Source organism: Homo sapiens, chromosome 5 (genome assembly GCF_000001405.40).
Source record: "Homo sapiens chromosome 5, GRCh38.p14 Primary Assembly".
Classification (NCBI taxonomy): Eukaryota; Metazoa; Chordata; class Mammalia; order Primates; family Hominidae; genus Homo; species Homo sapiens.
In genome coordinates this window covers 119,507,741-119,530,539 of record NC_000005.10, presented here as the reverse complement: position 1 = coordinate 119,530,539, position 22,799 = coordinate 119,507,741, and the positions used below count along the sequence as shown (strand labels likewise).

The 22,799-nt window shown below is 35.6% G+C and overlaps 1 protein-coding gene across 14 annotated transcripts in view, besides 1 other annotated feature; it reads right to left on the bottom strand.

Annotated features, from left to right (window-relative positions):
* HSD17B4 (hydroxysteroid 17-beta dehydrogenase 4) overlaps positions 1 to 22,799 on the bottom strand; it is an 89,836-nt gene that overhangs the window by 11,793 nt on the left and 55,244 nt on the right. For all 14 annotated transcript variants that reach the window (NR_164654.1, NR_164653.1, NM_001374503.1 and 11 more), the window contains 6 exons: positions 21,296 to 21,399; positions 15,494 to 15,559; positions 5,255 to 5,324; positions 4,517 to 4,623; positions 3,321 to 3,407; positions 560 to 646 (listed from right to left, as the gene is read on the bottom strand). Coding sequence is in view for 12 of the 14 variants with exons in the window: in NM_001374503.1 (NP_001361432.1) it covers positions 560 to 646; positions 3,321 to 3,407; positions 4,517 to 4,623; positions 5,255 to 5,324; positions 15,494 to 15,559; positions 21,296 to 21,399 (521 nt within the window). In the remaining 2 variants the exon portion in view is untranslated. The remainder of the gene's footprint in view (positions 1 to 559; positions 647 to 3,320; positions 3,408 to 4,516; positions 4,624 to 5,254; positions 5,325 to 15,493; positions 15,560 to 21,295; positions 21,400 to 22,799) is intronic.
* Positions 14,992 to 15,286: a silencer, noted in NCBI's record as "tiled region #15152; HepG2 Repressive non-DNase unmatched - State 15:Elon". NCBI's record gives its function as "represses a minimal TATA promoter and a strong SV40 promoter by Sharpr-MPRA in HepG2 cells {active_cell/tissue: HepG2}" and the evidence as "EXISTENCE:reporter gene assay evidence [ECO:0000049][PMID:27701403]".

The window sequence follows — 22,799 nt, the reverse complement described above, 5'->3', positions numbered from 1 at the left end:
GGGATTTTAATTTTCAGTCAGTTATATGGTTTATGACAGACAATTAAAGATCATGGGTATCGAAACCTCAACATTACAAAGTTAATATTTCAGAGATAGAATATAAACATTTTTATCAAAAGTCTCAGCATGCTAATAAATAATACAATGTTTTAATAAATTATACACGCTGCTGGTTTATATATTTGCATACAAAACTTTATATAAACCTTTAAATCAAGAAAAAGGTACAGGATATTCAACTTTTTAATCTATTTTTCTCCAAAACGCTGTTTGCTTAAGATTCTGATTAAACAACTGATTTATTTATTCTAAAACTAGAAAATTATGTTCTCTTGAAAGATATCCTAGTATCCTGCAAAACGAGTTTTTTAAAGTTCATAAATTGCCAGAGTATTCCTTCTATTCCAAGCTGTTTTGAATTAATGTTTTTCACTTCAAGAATTAAGAATAGTTTCATGGTTGTTAATTTTCTAACGTAGCCTAACCACTCTTAAAGTCACCTTAACTGAAATTCCTAAATGAGGAAGTGGCTTGGATACTAATTTTTATAACCTACCTCAGAGGGTGTCTTAGCTGAAGTACCAGATGTTGGTGCAAGATCCACATATGCATTTGAAATGACAATGTCTCCAGTTTCTTGGACCTTAGGAGGAGAAGAAAAAAAAAAGATTTATTCTGATTACAATGGAAGTGTAATTTCACTGTGAAACAGTACAAAGTTTAAAATTTATTATTTTTGCCTCATATGAAAAAGAATATAATAATCCAGATAAAATAAAAGGCTGCTAAAGTAAATGTCAAGATGAACAAACATAAAGGCTTTCTGATTTAATACAACTGTTACTAAACCTGGCTTTATAATCAGCTGGAGCCCTTTAAAACAAACAAACAAAGAAACCCTATGAGGTCCCATCCCCCAAAATTCTAATGTAAATACACTGATAGAGACTGGGCCTTGGTATTTTGGGCATTTTTTGGGGGGGAAGTGGGGATCAGGGGATGCACTCTTATAAACAGAATTCAGTCCATGCTGAATCCTTATAAATAGTAAAAGGCATAGCACAATAGCCACATGAGGTAATGGTACTCAAAGTACATTTGTTCTGCTAATATAGAATAAAATTGGCTAGGAACAAATCATAATAGTGTTTTTTAAGTAGTAATTCCAGGTCTTATTTCAAGAGGAAGTGTACACAGCATGAACTAAATGTCTAAATAGGCTTTTATCAAAATAGTCATTAAAGGAATTCAAATTCTAATTCCCAGTCCTTCATTTCAAATTATTCCAATGGCTATTCTTTCATAAAAATTGTTATTGCTACAAATGTATAGGATAAGTTTCTAAAGTTTAACATAGCGTTTATTAAAACTTTGATTTTTAACAATCAAGAAGATCATTCTCTTGACTACATCTCATCATATTTTGGAGGAAAAAAGATCTTTCAAGTAATTTGTTCACTTTACTTCAAATTACATACATTGAAAAGCATGGAAAGAGATAATTAATGAACAAAATGCACTTCAGTAAATTACTTTATTGTTACCAAATCAAGCAAATCATTTTAAAACACTGGTTTAAAATGTTTCTTATATCTTAAGAATAGAAAGGAAAGGAGGAAGGGAGGGAGAAAGTGAGAAAAGGAGGCAGGGAGAGAAGGAGTCCTAAAACTAATAGAAAAAGAATATCTATAATCACTGAAGAAAAATATAGCAAATATGCTGAAAAGATAAGACAGCATGCTTAGAATTTAACAAAATGGCAAGAATACATTATATTTAGACATTTAATCATTTCTCAGCCCTTCAAGTTTGTATCCATAGAAATTATTTACATACTATTCATCACCAGAATTGCAGGAAAATAAAAACCTGTAATATAGTCATGGTCCTTAACACTTTTAGAGTTCATAATCTTAATCAAAAAGCAAAACTTACTCATACAAAACAAATTAGAAAATGTGAGGGCTCCAAAATATGTGGCACAGATATTAGCTGCAAAGGCTTTCAGAGAACACCAATTTGAGTGTATCTATGGGTAGGAAAGTGGGGAATAGTAAGAGACTGTCTCTAAGAGCAAAGTGGAGCTTGAACTTAAGCCTGAAGGACAGGAGGAATTTGAAAAGTAAAATAAACAATATGTACAAATTAAGCAGGAAAATGATATTGCAACCAGCAGAAAGGAATTAGGAGTAAAGCAACCATGTAAGAAGAATTTTGCAGTTATCTATTTGTGAAAGAAAACATGATACAGAAAAGACATTTGGGGCCTGTAATCAAAGCTTTGAAGCCATGCTGATCGGGTTTCTATCCCAGCTCAACCACTTGCTGTGTGACCATGAGCAAGTTATTTAGGACACCTAGATTAGATTTTCTTAGGAACCTAGATTTTCTTATATTTACATACAGATTTATTATGCATATTAAAGAAAATACTATTGCCAGTTTATAGGTTCTCAATAAATGAAAGCTGTTCCTATTATCATTGGAGTTGTTTAATATGCTCTATATAGCATGAAATGATCAAGCCAAAAAGTATTAGCCTGGTCAACTGTGTTAACAAAAACTGTCTTTTAATAACTTGCAAATAAAACAATGATTGCATGTCCTTTTAGTATTTTACTGGAGCATTGCTAACAGCCTCACCCCAAAATAACCTCATTTACTATTTGTTAGGCCCAGACTCTGTGATGTAACTTGTTAATTTGTGGATTTTTTGTGTAATCAAGATGCATATGATTTCTGTCCAGAGAAAACTCATAAAGGATAAGATTTTATTGTTCTATAGGATATTAACTAATTTTGTCTCTAACTCTGCAAAATTATTTTAGAATAACTTTCCTATTGGACCATATAAACTGTTGTTCTAATTTTTTTTCGAACATGTTTTATCATATTGCAAGATCCTTCATTAATGAGTCAGATAGATTTCTGTCATGTTTTCACTGTATATCTGTCTGAGTCATGCCTTTAAATTTTTTAAGATGATATTTTGACAATGACTTGATTGACTAGTTGAGCCAAAAAGACATGGTTGGCTGGGTTTTCAGAATAGCTGGGCCACTGCTACATAGATAGCTACCAATTTAGTTGAAAATAAAAGAGAAAATAAAACACAGGGTGCAAAACACTTCTATTTTATTAAGTGTTGCCTGATAAATAAAAATTTTGAAAACACCAGACAAGCTGTATCTTATTTTTAATTAAAATTTACCATTACTTAAAAAGAACTTTCTATCCATAGTACTAACCAAAAAAAAATGGTAAGATGGAACACAATGATAAAGCATGTGAGAAGGGTGAAAAAGCAAAATTCATACCTTGGTTTGAAAATGAATTCTGTTTCCTTCCTTCCACATCTCAGTTTGTAGAGTTTGTCCTGGATATACTGGTTTTGCAAAACGAGCCTTTAAAAAAGAATTGTGGGGTTAAAAATGTTTTAAAAGGAAACTCTTTTACTTGTAGGAGGAAAAAATTGGAAAGGAAACTAGAGAGCACAAAAGAAAAAAAAAATCAAGGTTTAAAGATATTTAAATTCATAAAAGACCTAAGTATAATATGATAAAATTAGTAAAATAAAGATGTAACTAATATAAGTAAGCCAATTCTTTGTCTTTCAAAGTATGGAATCAAAAAATAGTGTTTTTTATCTTGACAAATCAAGAAATAAAACCATAATCATATTAGGTGAGTTATATAGGTACATCAGAACAACTTAAAGAAACAGTTAAAAGTGGTACAAATTAAGTCTAAGGAATGAGGCCTGGGGTGAGTATGCAGGGCAAAATAATTCCACTTTTTATTTCATAATTTTTTATATTATTTTCTCTGTGTATATATTACTGGATAATAAAAAATAGTTGTAACAAAATGAAAAGCATGAGAGTAATTAGTGTTATCAAAGGCAATGCATCAGAAAATATATTTTCACTACTGCATGGAGGATAAATTAAAAGCTTTTGGAGCTATTTGACAACCCCTTAAACTTTTTTAAGTGTACATCTTTTGGCTTAAACATACACAAAAATAATATGGGCATGGATATTTTTCCTTGTTATTTATAATGGATAAAAATTTGAAATCAACTAAAAAGTACAGAGTTAAAACAATATGCAGTCATTATATTGCTGTAGATGTATGTTTATTGGACTTAATCAGCCACTTAACATTTTTAATTAAATTAATGAAAATGATAAAACAGTTAAAAAAAGCAAATCTTGAGTTTTCAAGGCATACGTACTGATATATATATATATAATATATGCACCTAATTAATTTATAAAGCAACCCAGTTAATCTGTCAAAATTGCAACTGTGCATCCTTCCTGGTGCATGTGCAACAGAGCTATTTATAGCTACAAAAAGAAAGTGTGCTGATTGCCAGGTCAATGAAATAATAAAAATGTACATTGCTGTAGTACAATATCTATTTTCAATTAAATCACTAAAACCCCTTTTCTTCTCTAAAGATAGAAAAAGGAAGTAATATTCAAATTACGTAGTAATACACATTTACCTTAATTGCCTTGAATCTTGACACATCATTATCTGCAAACTGCTGTAACACACGCCTGGCAGAAAATCCAAATGTACATAATCCATGTAATATGGGCTTGTCAAAACCTAGGAAAAGAGAGAACACTGAGTTAGATACAGGTACCTTTAAAGTTTAAAAATCAAGTGTAGTTAATTCAGGACTTTAAAAATGTCCTTAGACTGCATTAGCAGGAATTATACCATCTATTTTAAGAAACACAGTAGATATTTTTTAAAGAGTATTTCCTGGGAGGAAATTATGAAATAAAGAAAGAAAGAAAAAAAAAAAACAAAACAGGAAAAGAATGTGAGAGATCTGGAAACACAATTGTTTTGTTTAGTTTTGGTTGTAACCATGAAATCATCCAGGGTACTCTCAACATCCACACAGGTACATGATCCTTCCCTAACCTTTCAGTTCCTTGCTCTCTCTCCAATGACCTTGTCCTTTGTGATAACTCACACACCCACCCTCGTGGTCCTATCCTAGACCTCGCACTAGCGGGAACTTCCCTCCACCATAATCTGAATTTCAAGTGCACTATTTTCTGAACACATTTCCTACCTTTCCATATCCTTTGCATAAATGTAATAAATAAAATAACATTTTTTTAAATGCTACTCAAACTACCAGTCATAAGTAGTAGTGTCTTTACATTATTTAATTAAATATCGAATAGCTAATATTTTTCATTGATACATATTAAAGACAACTCACCTGCTAGACTAGCAAAGTTAGGATCAATGTGTAAGGGATTCCAGTCTCCACTGAGGCGGTACAAAGCAGCCTGTGGAGAAAGCATAAACATAACTAGAACTCAGTGTTTTGTTAGAATACATTAAATGAAAAATAGGAAACATGGCTGGTTATTGGTATAAGCATTGTATCATAATGTACCTGAGGCTCTGATTTTAAAAATAATTATTTTTAACAATAAAGATTACCTATAATGAAATGTTTTTTTAACACTTGCCACTAAAATCAGTGGGAGGGAAAAAAATGTAGAAAGGGAAGCCAAGAATTATATTTAGGTAAAACACTGTTACTACTACCTAAGGAGAAATTCACAAAAAGAAGTCAGTCAATCTACTCCCATTTATACACAGATAAGGTAAATGTTTATAGTCTGCTCTAAGCAAGCAAAATTTATGCCAACTTTCTTACTGGGGTGTTTTAAATTGAAGCTTCTAAGACAATATCGGACATAGAAACATCAAAGACTTCTCACTAACTTTCATTCTGCTGGTACACTAAATCCTGAACATTAGCTCACCCTGCAAGAAAACTGACTGAACTGATAGCTTGCTATTATGATAAAAGTTCTGCTGAGTCCAGATTTCCACATCACTAGTTTACTTAGATAAAGTAGGATTAGCAGCGTGGCCTGGATAACAATAGGGAAAAAGTCACCATACTTTCTGGCGTTTAAATGGTACATTCTTCCAAGTTAGAAAGCACTTACCAGCACTGAAAGGAAGAAATTCACCAAACAGCTAATAGTAAGTGTATTTAATGTATCTGTAAACTTGACCGACCCTTTTAGGTCAGCCTCAAGACTTCTTCCCTTTCTCATTAATTGCTGTGCTGTTTTCCAAAGACTACTGAAATGCTGTGTAAAGACTAGCCATATCTTTTTAAAATTACTGATCTTTTATTACTTTTAAACTACTGATTATTTTTAACAAGTTTTATTTATAGAAAATATTCTATAATTCATAAGAAAGCATCATTCTTTTTAATATGCTTTGTATAATTCCAATAAGCTCTTTTCCTTCCCCATGACTCCATATAATGGTTCTATAGATTATTTACTTTCCCAATGACTCAATATTCTTTCCTTTACATGTCTTCTTAATATAATGAAATCAAATAAACAATTATTGAATACTGGTGACTTGCAAGGTCCCATATGAGATGCTAAGAGAAGTAAATGATAATTTTTTAAAAGCACTTTATATAATAAAATGTTAGCAAATATATATCATGATGTATACAAATGAAAGAAAAACACATTTCAGGGCCTGAAATTGTGACAGGAAATTATCAAACACATGCTAGATCATGGGATTTGGTACTAGTCAGATCTAGATTCAAAGCCAGCTCTACCATTAATGGGCAAGTTTCTTCACCATTCGAAGCCTCAATTGCTCATTTAGAAACATTTAGAGGCTAACAGAACTTACTCTCACAGAGTAGTTGGAAAAAGGTGGGATAAAGCTTACAAGGTATTATCTTTGATAAATAATACCTCAATAAATGTTAGTTATTTTTTAAAGATTATAGCAACAATACAAACAACCAAGTTTCTAAGATTAGTACTAGTATTCTTATCCCACATATATCATTCCTATAAATGAATACAGTGTTCTGAAGAAATCGTATTAATATGAAATATCTCACATTATTTCAATGATAGCATTGCTTTCTATAGATAACAGAGTTAAACGAAGACAAAAAAGGTTCATTATGAGAAATGACAAAAGCCAACTGACTAGATGTTTGACCCATTCAATCATAACACAAAATAAGCATTGTTCAATTAATAATGACCACTGCCAAAGCTTATCTTCTACGTATTTTGAAGAAATGGCATATTTCAGAAGGAAAGCTAAAAGTTTCTTGTTTCGTTTCATTTCTGCCTGGAAATAAGTCATTATAAATAACAACCACCAAAAAAATAAGAAAAAGAAAAATAGCTATATATTATTTTGCATATTAAAAGTAGGTGGGAGGATAATCTGCATACAGGTAAACTATTCCTTAATTTGATTTTTTAAAATTGTACCATTAAGTTAAACTAAATGCTAAATAAATAGGCTCAGGAAACTAGTGCTTTTTAAGTCCTCATATCCTCGAAAAAAAAAATACAAATAATGAGAACAAATAAAACTACACAAATCTCAAGCCTACAGTGTAACTAGAAGACAGAGAACACTGCAGAGTTCAAATTCCAGTAAGTCTCAAAATAAACACCACTTTTCTATCAGTGCTAACTTTTGAGCACCCTCTGAAAGCTACTGCAGAGTGGCAGGGCTTGGGGGGTGCAAAAGCAGTGCATGGAAGAGGGAAAAGGAAAATCACTCCCAGATAAATCCATCTTAAGGGCAAAAATACTGAAATGAATCCTGGAAGATTACAGCACTGACTACAATGAAAATAATTAATAGTACACTAGTCTTCCAGTGGCAATTCCAGAAAGGTATCACTTTCGGGGAGAACAGAATAAAACAAAGATATCACCTTTGGAGACTGGATGAAGAAAAAAAGAAGCAAGAGAGGAAATTAATGATCCTGAAAGATAATTTATTTTATTTTTAAAAATAAAACACCTCCCCACAGTGCCCCTTCTTTAAAGCCACCCACTAAAGAAATTGCATGTTGCTACACAGAGAGAAAGGGCAATTTTGAACTAAGAATCTTGGAAACCACCCCAAACCACAAAACGCACAGAGGTAAATATTCTTCATCTGTACAACACTAACATAAAACTAAAATTGCAATTCCTCAGGGATCTAGAACTAGCAATACCATTTGACCCAGCCATCCCATTACTGGGTATATACCCAAAGGATTATAATCATGCTGCTATAAAGACACATGCACACGTATGTTTATTGCAGCACTACTCACAATAGCAAAGACTTGGAACCAACCCAAATGTCCAACAATGATAGACTGGATTAAAAAAATGTAGCACATATACACCATGAAATACTATGCAGTCATAAAAAAGGATGAGTTCATGTCTTTTGTAGGGACATGGATGAAGCTGGAAACCATCATTCTCAGAAAACTATTGCAAGGACAAAAAACCAAACACCACATGTTCTCACTCATACGTGGGAATTGAATAATGAGAACACTTGGACACAGGAAGGGGAACATCACACACCGGGGCCTGTTGTGGGGTGGGGGAGGAGGGAGGGATATCATTAGGAGATATACCTAACGTAAATGACGAGTTAACGGGTGCAGCACACCAACATGGCACATGTATACGTATGTAACAAACCTGCACATTGTGCACATGTACCCTAGAACTTAAAGTATAATAAAAATACATATATATTTAAAAAAAAAAAACCAAAACTGAAAATGCAAAACAAAACCTTTTAGTAAATAAAATCCACCCCCCCTCCAAATAAACAAACTGCCAAACAGAAGAAAACTGTAACAAAACACTCAAGCATTTGGGGATGTAAAACAAACACTCTGAATCCAAAATCCAAAAACTAAGAAAATAAATGGATGACATACATGAAGAAATAAATAAGTAATGATTAAATTCAAGAAAGAAATGGAAAGAAAAAATCAAAATCATATAAGAAATGAAGACTAAATTATAAGGTACCCAAAGGAGAACACATTCAAATAAAAATTAAATAAGGGGATGGCAGAAAGGGCAGAAATGAACCATGAGAATGAAAATGAGATCAAGAAGCAACTAAAAAAGAACAGAAGAAAAGTAGTTGAAAGACATGAAAAGATTCAACATACATATAAATGGATACCCAAAGAAAGAAAAGCAAAACAGTGAAAGAGAACTAATATTTAAAATTTTAATACTATAAAACTAAAAGACATGAATATACATATTAAAAAGGCCCACCAGGTATATAAGGAAGACTGACCTGCAACATGCAAGACTGAGACATATCCCAGCAAAACCATTAGACTTTAAAAACGAAAATAATCTTGAGGGCCTCAGGGTAAAGATCAAGTAACTTACAGGGGAAGATAATTAGATTGGCATCAGACTTTTCAAAGGCAACATACAAAGTAAGACAACAATGATGCACCATTTTTAAGAAATAAGATTTTATATCCAACAATGCTGTCCCTTCAAGTATCTAGGGTAAATAGTTTTAAAGATATAGAAACCAAGGCAACACTATACACAGGAGCCGTTCTTGGGAAACCTTCCACAGAAGGAGCTTCATCCAACTAAGAGCTGACTAAGAAGCTTTGGCAAAAGGGTTGACATATTCAACTGCAAATCTAAAACTAAAAGATACAGAAAAGTGGAAATAATACATAAATGTTAAATGCTCTAAACAGTAAAAATAATGCATCCCCCAAAATGGGAACAATAAGAGGGGAAAAAGTAAAATAACCTCTTTTGACTGTTATACAAGAAACGAAGCCAAAGAACAGCAATCAAAACTAAAAAACTAGATAGTCATGGATTAAATGGGAAAATGAGGCATTAAGGGCATTAAAAAAGGTATACACGACTTTTGCTTCTGGCCATAATGAAGGACCTCGAATGGACTTATTCTTCTACCATAAACAACTAGAAAAATTATAAAGAAAAAAAAAGGTGGGGGTTACCACTGTTCCTAGACATTGGACAGCAGGCAATGCAGGACTACAATTCTTTACAGAAAAGAAACAAACAAGATGAGTTCTACAATTGTACAGCTTCCTTCTGACAGCAGTTCCCAGACTGCAATTCAGAAATCTCGAATATAGCAAAGTGGTCTCAATGAGTTACAAATATAGATTAGAATTCTGAAAGTATGATGCAGCTGAATTTGTGTGTACTGAAGAGGAGGAAGTTACACAGAAAAATAACTCCAGAAATCTAAATGGGGGTCTCACTGAGGGCTATAAAAAAAGGTCCTGGAAGATGATACACCACATGAAGAAAGAGGCCATGTAGGGAAGATTCGAAGCACCCCAGCCAACAGCTAGCACTAAGACCCCAGATATGCAAAAGAAGCCATCTTGGAACCTTCCAGCCCTGCCCAGCTGCCATCTAAAAGCAGCTACACCATTTGTAGCAGAAAGATCACCCAGTCAACCCAGAGTCTTGGAAAATAATAAATCATTGTTTAAAAAAAAAAAAACAGGTAGTAGTTATAAAATGTATGGTAATTTTTTTGGTTTCTCAATGATTTATTTTTGATTCCCAGTGATTTATCTGAAACTTTCACCCACAAATAATCAGTGAAGTGAAGGTGACACGTATTGGAAACTAAAGGCGATGGGTGCTATGGTAGCCTAGAGAAAAAGTTCAAAGGAGTCTTTTCTGGAGCTGCGAGTGGGACCTAGAACGTGGCTGTCAGTAATATCTCAGATTATGAGACCAGAGGATGTAAAAGAAGTTTTTTCTTTTAAAAATTGACAATTGGTGTATCATACTGTGATCGTTTAGTAGAAGCAGAATTATAAAAAATTATGAAAATATTCTAGTGAAACTAAATTAAATGCTGGGACTCTTCTAGATAAGATGAATGCTTGTGTTGCTTTCTTAATGACTTTACATGAGTTCTTTATGGTCCTAAAGGTCCAAATAAAAATGAGAGAAAGAATACTCCAGGAAATATGACTTGATATTTGCAAAATCTGGAATGCAATCAGTCTCTGCATCTAAAACATGGGCTGATCAGCAGTTCACTTTAGATGATCCCATCAGATAGTAAGCACTTTCTGGCAGTTACATGCAAGTGACTCAGATGGTCCAACTAGCATCCATGATTTCTCTACAGCTTTGTGGCCCCACAAAGGGGTGTTCTAAATCTGCAAAGATCTCCCACTAGAAGACATGTTTTTGAGCCTATGTCTGTTTTCAGTTCAAGATGACAGTAACTGTAATAAAGAATTATATTTTACTGGATACTAGAACTGATATGCCAAATATTAACTTTACTTAATAGGATATGTATAGTATAAGATATGTATCTGGGGAAACTATGGATATTTGTTCTCATTTTCCTCAAATACAAAGCCTGACATCTGATATTTACTTGCTGTTTGGTCTGTCTAGATTATTGCAGTGGAATTGTCTGTCTATTAATAATTATGAAAAACTACAAAGTACACTTGTATTGTCATACTCGTTTGTTTTGTTTTGTTTTGTTTTGAGACAGGGTCTTGCTCTGTTACCTAGACTGGAGTGCAGTGGTGTAATCACAGCTCACTGCAGCCTCGATTTACCAGGCTCAAGTGATCCTCCACCTCAGCCTCCTGAGTAGCTGGGACAATAGGCGTATGCCACCATGCTCGGCTAATTTTTTTATTATTATTATTACTTTTAGTGGAGACAAGTTCTTGCCCCAGGCTGGTCTCAAACTCCTGAGCTCAAGTGACTCTCCTGCCTCAGCCTCCCAAAGTGCTGGGATTTAAGGTGTGAGCCACTGTGCAGGCCTGTCATACCAGTTTCAAGATGAAGAAACTCTCCTGAAGACATTATAAACAGACATTCCAGAAGTGATACTGGTATAGTTAAAAATATATATTGCCAGTTTTCTTAATGATTGAAAAGTTACTTAGTTAATATAAATACCTAGCATAAAGTTTATGTATAATGGCATAATTTTTCCTCATTTCCATATCTCTTAAAGATCTGCCCATGCACAATCATCCTACACTAGTCTCCAATGTGAATGCTCTAATTCTTACCCCTTATACACACGTCATGCTCTTCTCCTCTCTTACACTCCATCATTACTTCTCAACACACTGCAAGCCCTACATATCCGGAGAGAAAACACCCACATACCATCTCCACTAAGTCCCATTCTTACTATCGAACCCTTCTGTGTCCGGAATTGGTGGGTTCTTGGTCTCACTGACTTCAAGAATGAAGCCGCGGACCCTCACAGTGAGTGTTACAGCTCTTAAGGTGGCACGTCTGGAGTTTGTTCCTTCTGATGTTTGGAGTTTCTTCCTTCTGGTGGGTTCGTGGTCTCGCTGGCTCAGGAGTGAAGCTGCAGACCTTCGCGGTGAGTGTTACAGCTCTTAAGGCAGCACGTCTGGAGTTGTTCGTTCCTCCCGGTGGGCTCATGGTCTCGCTGGCTTCAGCTCATAAAAGCAGTGTGGACCCAAAGAGTGAGCAGTAGCAAGATTTATTGCAAAGAGTGAAAGAACAAAGCTTCCACAGTGTGGAAGGGGACCGGAGCGGGTTGCCACTGCTGGCTTGGGCAGCCTGCTTTTATTCTCTTATCTGGCCCCACCCACGTCCTGCTGATTGGTAGAGCTGAGTGGTCTGTTTTGACAGGGCGCTGATTGGTGCGTTTACAATCCCTGAGCTAGACATAAAGGTTCTCCACGTCCCCATCAGATTAGCTAGATACAGAGTATCAACACAAAGGTTCTCCAAGGCCCCACCAGAGTAGCTAAATACAGAGTATCAATTGGTGCATTCACAAACCCTGAGCTAGACACAGGGTGCTGATTGGTTTGTTTACAAACCTTGAGCTAGATACAGAGTGCCGATTGGTGCATTTACAATCCCTGAGCTAGACATAAAGGTTGTCCAAGGCCCCACCAGAGCAGCTAGATACAGAGTGTCCACTGGTGCATTCACAAACCCTGAGCTAGACACAGGGTGCTGACTGGTGTGTTTACAAACCTTGAGCTAGATACAGAGTGCCCATTGGTGTATTTACAATCCCTGACATAAAGGTTCTCCATGTCCCCACCAGACTCAGGAGCCCAGCTGGCTTCACCCAGTGGATCCCACACCAGGGCTGCAGGTGGAGCTGCCTGCCAGTCCCGCGCGGTACGCTCGCACTCCTCAGCCCTTGGGTGGTCGATGGGACTGGGCGCCGTGGAGCAGGGGGTGGCACTCCTCAGGGAGGCTCGAGCTGCACAGGAGCCCATGGAGGGGGTGGGAGGCTCAGGCATGGCGGGCTGCAGGTCCCGAGCCCTGCCCTGCGGGAAGGCAGCTAAGGTCCAGCGAGAAATCGAGCACAGCACCGGTGGGCTGGCACTGCTGCGGGACCCAGTACACCCTCCGCAGCCGCTGGCCTGGGTGCTAAGCCCCTCATTGCCCGGGGCCAGCAGGGCCGGCCAGCTGCTCTGAGTGCCGGGCCCGCCAAGCCCACGCCCACCCAGAACTCAAGCTGGCCTGCGAGCGCCGCGCGCAGCCCCGGTTCCCGCTAGCGCCTCTCCCTCCACACCACCCTGCAAGCTGAGGGAGCCGGCTCTGGCCTTGGCCAGCCCAGAAAGGGGCTCCCACAGTGCAGCGGTGGGCTGATGGGCTCCTCAAGTGCCGCCAAAGTGGGAGCCCAGGCAGAGGAGGCGCCGAGAGCGAGCGAGGGCTGTGAGGACTGCCAGCACGCTGTCACCTCTCACTTCTACATGTCATTCCCTAATAAGTATCCCTTCTCTGACTGTCTGTTACACCTATACTACAAATCAAAGCCTTGTATTTAAACATTCATTGCTTGGAATAGGTGCCCTAGTTATCTCAGACATCTATATCTTGAGTATCCAAGTGTTCCTTCCCTTCCTTGACAATAGATGACACTTCTTCTAATTGACTTGTATTTCTTATAGCATGCATCCAATTTCAAATGTCCCACAAATTCCCTGAAATTTATGCAAAGTTTTATGCAAAATGTTTTTTAGGGAACTGGTATATAGCCTCCATTATATTCTCTAATTATCATACAATACAAAATGGCCAAGAACCTCTGCCAAATGATGAGTGCCCATTATTCACACAAAAATATTGTTGATTTAAAAACCGTCTTTTGTCACGCAGCAAAATATTAAAACCTACCTTAAAACTAACAAAAAGTTTTAGTCATCTGAAAAAAAAACAAAAGAAAGAAAACCCCACTACTTACTGTGCGTAGAAATTCAAACCTTGGAAACTATTCAGCTTTTATTTGTAGCAGATATATTTTTTATTTCAGTATAATAAAGAGGCATTTCTTGGGTTTTCTGAACCATGAAACCATGAGCCTTTTCTGTTTTTTAGTACTCTAACAGAATTAGTTTCTCAATTAAGCCTTATGTAAACATAAATATGAGCACATTCTTAAGAAATTCATAAGAAACAGTAATGGATGGAAAAAATATTTAAAAGCAAGAATAAAACAATGTTCCCTCCATCACCTGATTATATGGTACAGAAAAAAAATACATATGTACCAACTTTAATTCTCTCTGGCTTATGAGATTACAATTCTATTTGCTAGGAAACATAAGTCCTGCAGAAGTTTTCATATCAAACATACCAAAAAAAATTTTTTAACTTTTAAGTCCAGGAGTACATGTGCAGGATTGTTACATAGATAATTGTGTGTCATGGGGGTTTGTTGTGCATATTATTTAATCACCCAGGTATTAAACCTACTACCCATTAGTTATTTTTCCTGATCCTCTCCCTTCTCCTATCCTCTACCCTCCAGTAGGCCCCACTGTGTTGTTCTCTTCTAAAATACAACCAAAAATTTTTTTAAAGTGACCTTTCTGAACAATTTGCTGTTATTACATGCACACACACTGCGTTACTCCAGAGGTTTAAGGATTTTATGCTATATCTGCATGGTTAGTCTACTAGCCATCTTAGAGAAGAATCTTAAGGTCTCTCAAAAATAAACTTGCTTTTCTCACTTTTATGGTTGCCTTTTGTTTCTTAAACAAATTTTTCTATGGTCACAGAATTTGTGAACTGACAGGACATTTTATCTCCTTCACCAGAAAACAAATTCTTTATGTCAAACAAAAAAGATTAAATCACCTACTGCTTCTAAGATGCTTTATTTGCCTATCCTTTACAGTTGGTATAAAATAATCTGTTTCCAAGCAGTGTGGCATTGCTTTCTTTCCCAAAGAGGAAAGGATGACTAATACTTACTTGCCTTTTACCTAATTTTTATCCTGCACTTACTCTGAGGCTTTCATGAAATTCTTCACTCTTAAAGTGGGCGGCCTCTCCAAAGAAAGCACTCCATTACCAACAACATGCAATGCTTTTTAAATTGACTAATAAAAAACCATTTTATATTTTATTTTGGTATCTAGTGGGAAAACATTAATAACTAAAAATTAAAAAAATAACGTGCAATCACAGGAAACATGTCTGTATGTTTATTATGTTGAATAATAACATATTATTCATTATGCATTAGATGCATAATGTTATAAGGTATCAGAGCTATAAATTAAAAAGTGTCATCAACCAGGTGGATTTATCATTTTTCAAAAATACAATCTTACCTGATTAAGAGAGGTGGTATCTGTAAGTACAGCATCAGGAGGTCTATTAGGTATGGCTACAGCTACCTAAAATTAAGACATTACATGTTAAATCTTAAATACAAATTATCATTATTCTCTTTAACCAAACTCACATTTGATACACAATCATGTTTCAATACAATAAACTCTGCAAATTGGATAAAAGGGTTTAAAAAAAATCATGCTCAGGAAATAATGATATTTAAAATTTCATAACTCCTAGCTTCATCTACTCTATGATTTGCCTGAAATGACCTTTCTAAATGTAAAGAATTATGTAATCAGATAAATCCTCCAGGCCACAATGGAGAAAAAGTTAAGGACAGTTACTCCCTATGTAAAAGATGAAAACAACTACAAGAATTAGACATATAATTCACATCTAAATTGATTCAGTCTTTAAAACTGGTCTTTTAAATCCTTGCATATTTTAATTTGCCATCTTAACAAAATAATACATTTTAAAGTTGGTTACCAAAAATATTTGAATTATTATGATCCCTTAATGCCAACACTTAAAATTCCTTTTTGATGAAAAGTCTGCAACATCTACAAAGTAAGTATCTGAGTGCCAGTTTAGGGTTGATTTAAACCAAAGTAAACATAAAAAATTCAAGTAGCTAATATCTACTTCTCAATCATTTATAATAGAGGCAAAATTTTATTATAGAATAATTTAAGTAAATTTTCCACAACAAAGTAAGCTTTTATCCTTTCAGAGAGTTAAGAAATTAGTGATTTTTCATTACTAAAATGCCACACTTAGATATATTCCCAAACTTATCCTCACAAACCCCGCCACACCCAAAACATAAAAAAAGATCATGAGGGAAGTTGCTGCTTCTAAAAGCAAACAAAAGTCAGGCTGCCGTTTTTCAAAAATCATTGCATCAATTACACTCCTTTGTTTCAGTTGCATCCAGTGTATTTTGCAGGTTTTATTTACAAATTCATTTTCAATGCATTCTACTAGGTTTTGGAGGACCTGACTTCAATCTATAGGTCCCGAGCAGTCTTTTAAAATTTCTGAGTACCAAGAGTTCTCTGAACCTGTCTTGATTCTGAGGGCTGCCTGATTAAAAATAAACAAATAAAAATTAAAAATTAAAAAATTCTGAGTACCTTTTATTCCACAAAATCCATTGTATGCCATGTATACAAAGGGCATTTAAGATGGACAGTGCCGCGATGGTAGTTTTACTGTTAACAGACTAGAAACTCGTTTATGGCACAGGGCTTCACCATGACTTGACATCATCTCTGATTTTTTTCTCAAAGCAACAAGTGATACTTGTGATAAGTGCTTAGAGAATGGTATCTAGTTTAGATTACTTTCTGGTCTACAGTAATTCATTATTGCCCAATATTAAAAAGAACATACAGGGAGCACGAGGTGGATGGGACACCTGAGGTCAGGATTTCGAGACCAGCCTGGCCAACATGGTGAAACCCCGTCTCTACTGAAAATACAAAAATTAGCCAGGTGTGGTGGCGGGCACCTGTAATCCCAGCTACTTGGGAGGCTGAGGCAGGAGGATCACCTGAGTCTGGGAGGCAGAGGCTGCAGTGAGCTGAGATTGCACCACTGCACTCCAGGCTGGGCGATACAGTGAGATTCCATCTCAAAAAGAAAAAAGAACAAAGAAAAAGAACATACAGTTAAAAAGGAAAAACAAATAGCATGTTATATTTACTTCATCTAATATAGCCTCAGACTTGTATTTTACCCTTTCTAAAATAATATCTTCACTAAAAGCTTGGATGTTTTAAGAGTGAATATAACATTTCCAAGCTTTTCATTCAGAGAATGCCACTGCATGTTTCTGCATTGCACAACTTGCCTTAGGGTTCTTAATAACTCATAATTTGCTACCTGTGAATAGATACAACTTCACGTAAATAATACCCATTTAATACCTGTCAAGGTAATTTTTTCACATCCAAGCAATAAGTGAGGACAACTTTTTTTTAAATGCGGGCCCAGGACATTGTTTTCATATAGTATTGATCAATACTAATTTTTCAAACAGCTTTACTGACACAATACACATATAATTCACCTCTTTAAAATGTAAAATCCAGTCATTTTTAGTATATTCATAGAGTTGTCCAACCATCACCAGAATCAACTTAGGCACATTTTCATGTCCCCAAAAGAAAACCCTATAGCCATCAGCAGTCACTCTCCCTTGTCTCCTTTCTCCTCCAGCCCTTGGCAACATCTAACCTACTTTCTGACTCTACAGATTTGCCTAACCTGGGTATTTCATATAAACACAGTATGTGGTCACTTGCTATCAATCTGAAGAACTTTATTTAGGATTTCTTATAAGGCAAGACTGCTAACAACAAATTCTCTCAGTTTTTGTTGTCCAGGAATGTCTTTATTTTATATTTATTTTAGAAAGCTCATTTTGCTGGTTATAAAATTCTTAGTTGACCTTGTGGTATTTTTTTTTTTTCCTTTCAGCACTCTGAATACATTAGCCCACTATCTTCTGACTTCCATTGTTTCTGATGAGAAGTCAGAGGTCAGCTCTTAATCTTATTAGGGTTCCTTTGTAAGTAATGAGTCATTTTTTCTCTGATTATTTTCAACCTTTTCGTTTCTGGCTTTCAACACTTTTACTACAATGAAGAGAATATGGATTTCTTTAGATATATAATCTATTTGGAGTTGACTGAGCTTCTTGGATGTATAATGTTTTTCATCAGAAGCCATTATTTCCTCAAAATTTTTTTCTGTTCCTTTCTCTGTCTCTGATACACCCATTATATGAATGTTAGTGTGCTTAGTGATACTCCATCTTTCTCTAAGGCTCTTCATTCTTTTTCCTTTTCTTCACTGTGGTTCTCTCTGTTCTTTAGTTTGTATAATCACTATCAATCTATCTTTAAGCTTTTTTGATTCTTTCTTTTGTCAAATCTACATTTGGCCCTTCAACAGTAAATTTTTCATCTCAGTTATTATACTTTCAGCTCCAAATTTCCTATTTGAGTCTTTGTAATAATTTATATATATTTAGTAACATTTAAGCATGGTTTCCTTTAGTTCTTTGAACATAAATAACAGCTGCTGTGAAGTCTGTCTACTAAGTTCTCTCAAAGGCAGTTTCTGTTGCCTGTTTGTTTCTTCCGTCTATGCATCACACTCTCCTGTTTCTTCCATATCTTATAATTTTTTGTTGCTAACTGGGCATTTCAGATAATAGATTATAACAACTCTAGACACTAATCCCCCACCCCTTCCAGGGCTTGTTGTTATTGTTTATTTATTTAGTAACTTAGCTAGACTCTTACATGTGAGTCTATTCTCCCAATAGTGTACAGCCTCTGATATTGCTCCTCAGAGAGTGTACCTTGAGTAGGTGCAGTCACCCTACGATGACACTGGTTTTAGCAGGCTCTCTTTGACTGTCTCTCGTTGGTCTCTCTGTTAAACTGTCTGCCTCTTTTGGTATCATACCCAGTTGTAAGGTTCCACTAATTGCTAGATTACTGTTCTATTTTTTTCAACAGTGTCCTGGGGTATAAATTGTTCAACAATCTGATCCAATTAAATTCAAGCCTCTTTGCAAGGGTAGTCGTTGAGGCCAGACTTTGAGGTTTGTTACAATCCCAGGAGGGCTTTTCTTAGCTATCTCTTTCCCTGGTTCTTTCTAGTAAATGTCTAGCTGGGCTACACTTTAGCTCCCTGCTGTTACGGAACTACCAGCCTTCTCTTAATTGCTTATCACTACAGTCACACCTTGTTTTTGAGGGCATCCCTATGCTTGAACTTCCAAATACTTAGTTACAAAAAGACTCTGTTTCCTTGTGAAGAGGGTCAGAACTTTGTGTTATTACAGCCTTCCTCTCCCTCTAGGCAGAATTTCTGCAGGAGTAGTGACATACTTCTTTCCAAATGATACACTTGCTTTACAAGAAGGAAGCAGGGCAGGTGTAGTAGCTTCTGTTCTTCTCTGCTGACTCTCCAACCACGGAACCTCCACGCTACGGGAAAGCTAGGGCAAGTGCAATCAGGGCCCCAGTATTCTCAACCTGCCACAGGTAGGGTAAAGTCTCCACTCTGTAAGTGGGGGCTGGATGGAGAAATAGAGGCTCACAAGTCAGTCACTTTTACCTGGAATAGAGCATCTGCAATTCAGAGCTAGTGGGAAGGATAAGAAAAGTTAATAGTCTGCCCATCCTGGGAAGACAGCATGGCAGAGGGCTCCTACGTTCTTGGCTGCAAACGCCTGGGGTACAGTTTCTGTCATGCTCAGCCAGGAGAGGAAGAACAAAGGGAGGGGTTGTGACTCAAATGCCACACAGTCTCACTGTTCTTACCAAAATATAATAGATTTTCTTGAATAAATGTTTCTTCATTTGCTCTATACCCTTAGAACAATTTCCAGAGACATTAAATAGCTGTGTTTTAAAATAATTTTTTACAAGTCATGGTTGTTTCACTGACAAGAAAGTCCAAGGAGCTTCTTACGTCACCATTCCAGAAGTCTTTTCCCAATACTGCTTTAAATAATACTTTATTTACTACAGAAGAATATTGACTACAGTATAATCTTATTACCACAAGTAACTTAAAGGTAAAGCCAGATTAACGTGAAATCCAAATTAAATATTTTTAGGAAAAATATGTTTCTAGAATTTGAGAACAAAAGAATAACCAGAATTATCTTGCATAAGAGAAATACTTAGGTCCTTTAATAAATGAAGATTTTAATCTATACAAGGATCACTTGTGTTCAATTTTTCTAAAAACTTTTGGGGTCTGCAAAGATTGTACAAGAAAATAACAAATATTCCCATAATTATCTCAGATACATTATACTTAACTCAGCAAGGCTTTTCTATATATAAAATATGTTGTACAGAGAATATATAAACATAAACAGCACTTCAAATTCAAGGAACACACACAATTTCAAAGTACGTATTACCAAGTCTCTATGCTATAAGATTACATATATGGTAATATAAGATCAATATACAGTTGACCCTTAAACAATGTGCAGCTTGGGAGCACTGACTATGCAGTCAAAAATTCACGTATAACTTTTGACTCCCTAAAATCTTAACAACTGATAGCCTACTGTTAACCAAAACCCTTACCAATAACATAAACCATCAATTGATACATATTTTGTGTTATTATATTCTGCATTATTACAATAAAATGAGCTAGGAAACGTTTTCTACACTGGCTGCCACCTCATCTGAAATCAGCACATTCCATGGAGGAAGGAGTCCTGCTTTGCTGCATCGTCTATCCAAGGGTTTAATGTTGGTAAATGAGCAAATCGAGCATTTGTACAAGGCTCCCTAAGACTCCTGCAGCAGTCGACCAAGCCTGGGGACATAATGGAATCTGGAGTTTCCTGGGGCCTTGTTTTGAAAAAGACTTGACATACACATAGGAAGAAAGGCACAAAAATAAACATTCACTTGTCTCTGAGAAAAAGAAGAAGAGGAAGAAGAAACTAGGAAAAATAAAATGTCATGAAAAACATAAAAAATGAAAGAATATTTACTATTCAGTAAGTGGAAGTAGATCATCATAAAGGTCTTCATCCTCATCATCCTCACATTGGGTAGGCTGAGGAGGAGGAAGAGGAGGAGGAAGAAGAGGGACTGGTCTTGGTGTCCCAGGGGTGGCAGATGTATAAGAAAATTTGCCTATAAGTGGGCTCATGCAGTTCAAACTCATGCTGTTCAAGTCTCAATTGTATAGGTAAGAATCCTTAACTACACATATATTTTGCTTACAAAGTCATGGCTTACCTTGACTTTGTCTGATGTCCGTTTTCCACCAAAGCCTCCAGAGCCAACAAGAAAGAGAGAGAACTGATTGTGGCATATAAGTTCCTTCTCAGAATAAGAATAGACTGAAAAGTAAATAAAAGAAAAAATAAAAGAAGTTACCACCAAAAGGCATAACTAGTTAACCAAGATAGGTTCAACAATTCCTGTCAAGGTTTCAAAAACAAAATCCAATTACTGAAAGAGTTCTAACATGTAAAGGTGTCCAAGTTTGGATTACAAAGCATTCATTTTAATCCATTCATACCAGAATCTGAAAGGCAGAGAGAAGAGGAGCTTCAAAAATCCTTTCTTAACTATGAAATAGCAGTTCTTTCACTTTTCTTAAGGCTCTCCAACTGCTATTCAGATCCCAATTATTTCCACCTTAAACATTTCAAATAATCCCACTAGAAAGTACAGGTAACCACACTCGAACTTTCAAACATTCTGCCAAAGCAGTCAAGAAGAGCATGGAGAGGAAATAAGTGGGAATGAAGGTATAAGCCACATGAGGGCAGGATCATGGCTGTTCTGCTCACTCTTATTTTCCCATCAACTAGAATAGTTCCTGTACAGAAAAAAAGGCACCTAATAAGTGTTTATTAATTAATAAATCAGTGAATAAATGATATGAGTGAGCAAGTTAGCAAATAAGTGAGCAAGTAATGAATAAGACAGCTGTCCCTCTATTTACTAACTTACTAGGGACAGATTATTATCTGTTTCATATCTAGCTCTGCAAAACTAGAAATATGATTTTAAATTGCATACTAAAGAAAAATCTAATTATAAACAAAAATAAGGAAAGGCATGCCAATGTAGTTCAAATAAGATTTTTATTTTTATCACATAGGCAACTGAATAACCAATTTCACTTTGTCTACAAATTCTAATATACTAAGGACCATTACCAAGTTGTATTTCAATAAATGGAGCAGATCAAGAGAGAACAGTAAAAATTAAAGAAAGGTTTCGGCAGGACTTTTTTTTTTTGGTATGTTACATTTGGTTCAATGGTGAGAAGACTAAAAGAGAACTGGGAGAATAGTAGCCAAGTGTTGGCCAACATCTGGAATGACAAGTATGAAAACCTAAAAAGAGAAGAGAAAGGAAGAGGAAAAGGAGGAGAAGGAAGATAAAGAACATACATAATATTTAAGAGCATCAAAAATGTTCTCAATTGATTATTAAGCAAAAATAAAGCAAGTTCCAAAACAGCATATATAGTATAACCTCCTATGTATTTACAAGAAAAATGATAAACTTATATTCCAAATATTAAATAATGTCAAACTTTATACTGTTCTTGGGTTCCAAAATCACTGACAACAAATATCTACTTTTTTGTTCTTAAACTTTAAAACTTACAAATTTAAACTTAAATTTAAATTTAATTTTTAAAATTTAATTTATAAAATGTACAAATTTTTTTTTTTTTTTGGTACAGAGTCTTGCTCAGTCACCCAGGCTGGAGTGCAGTGGC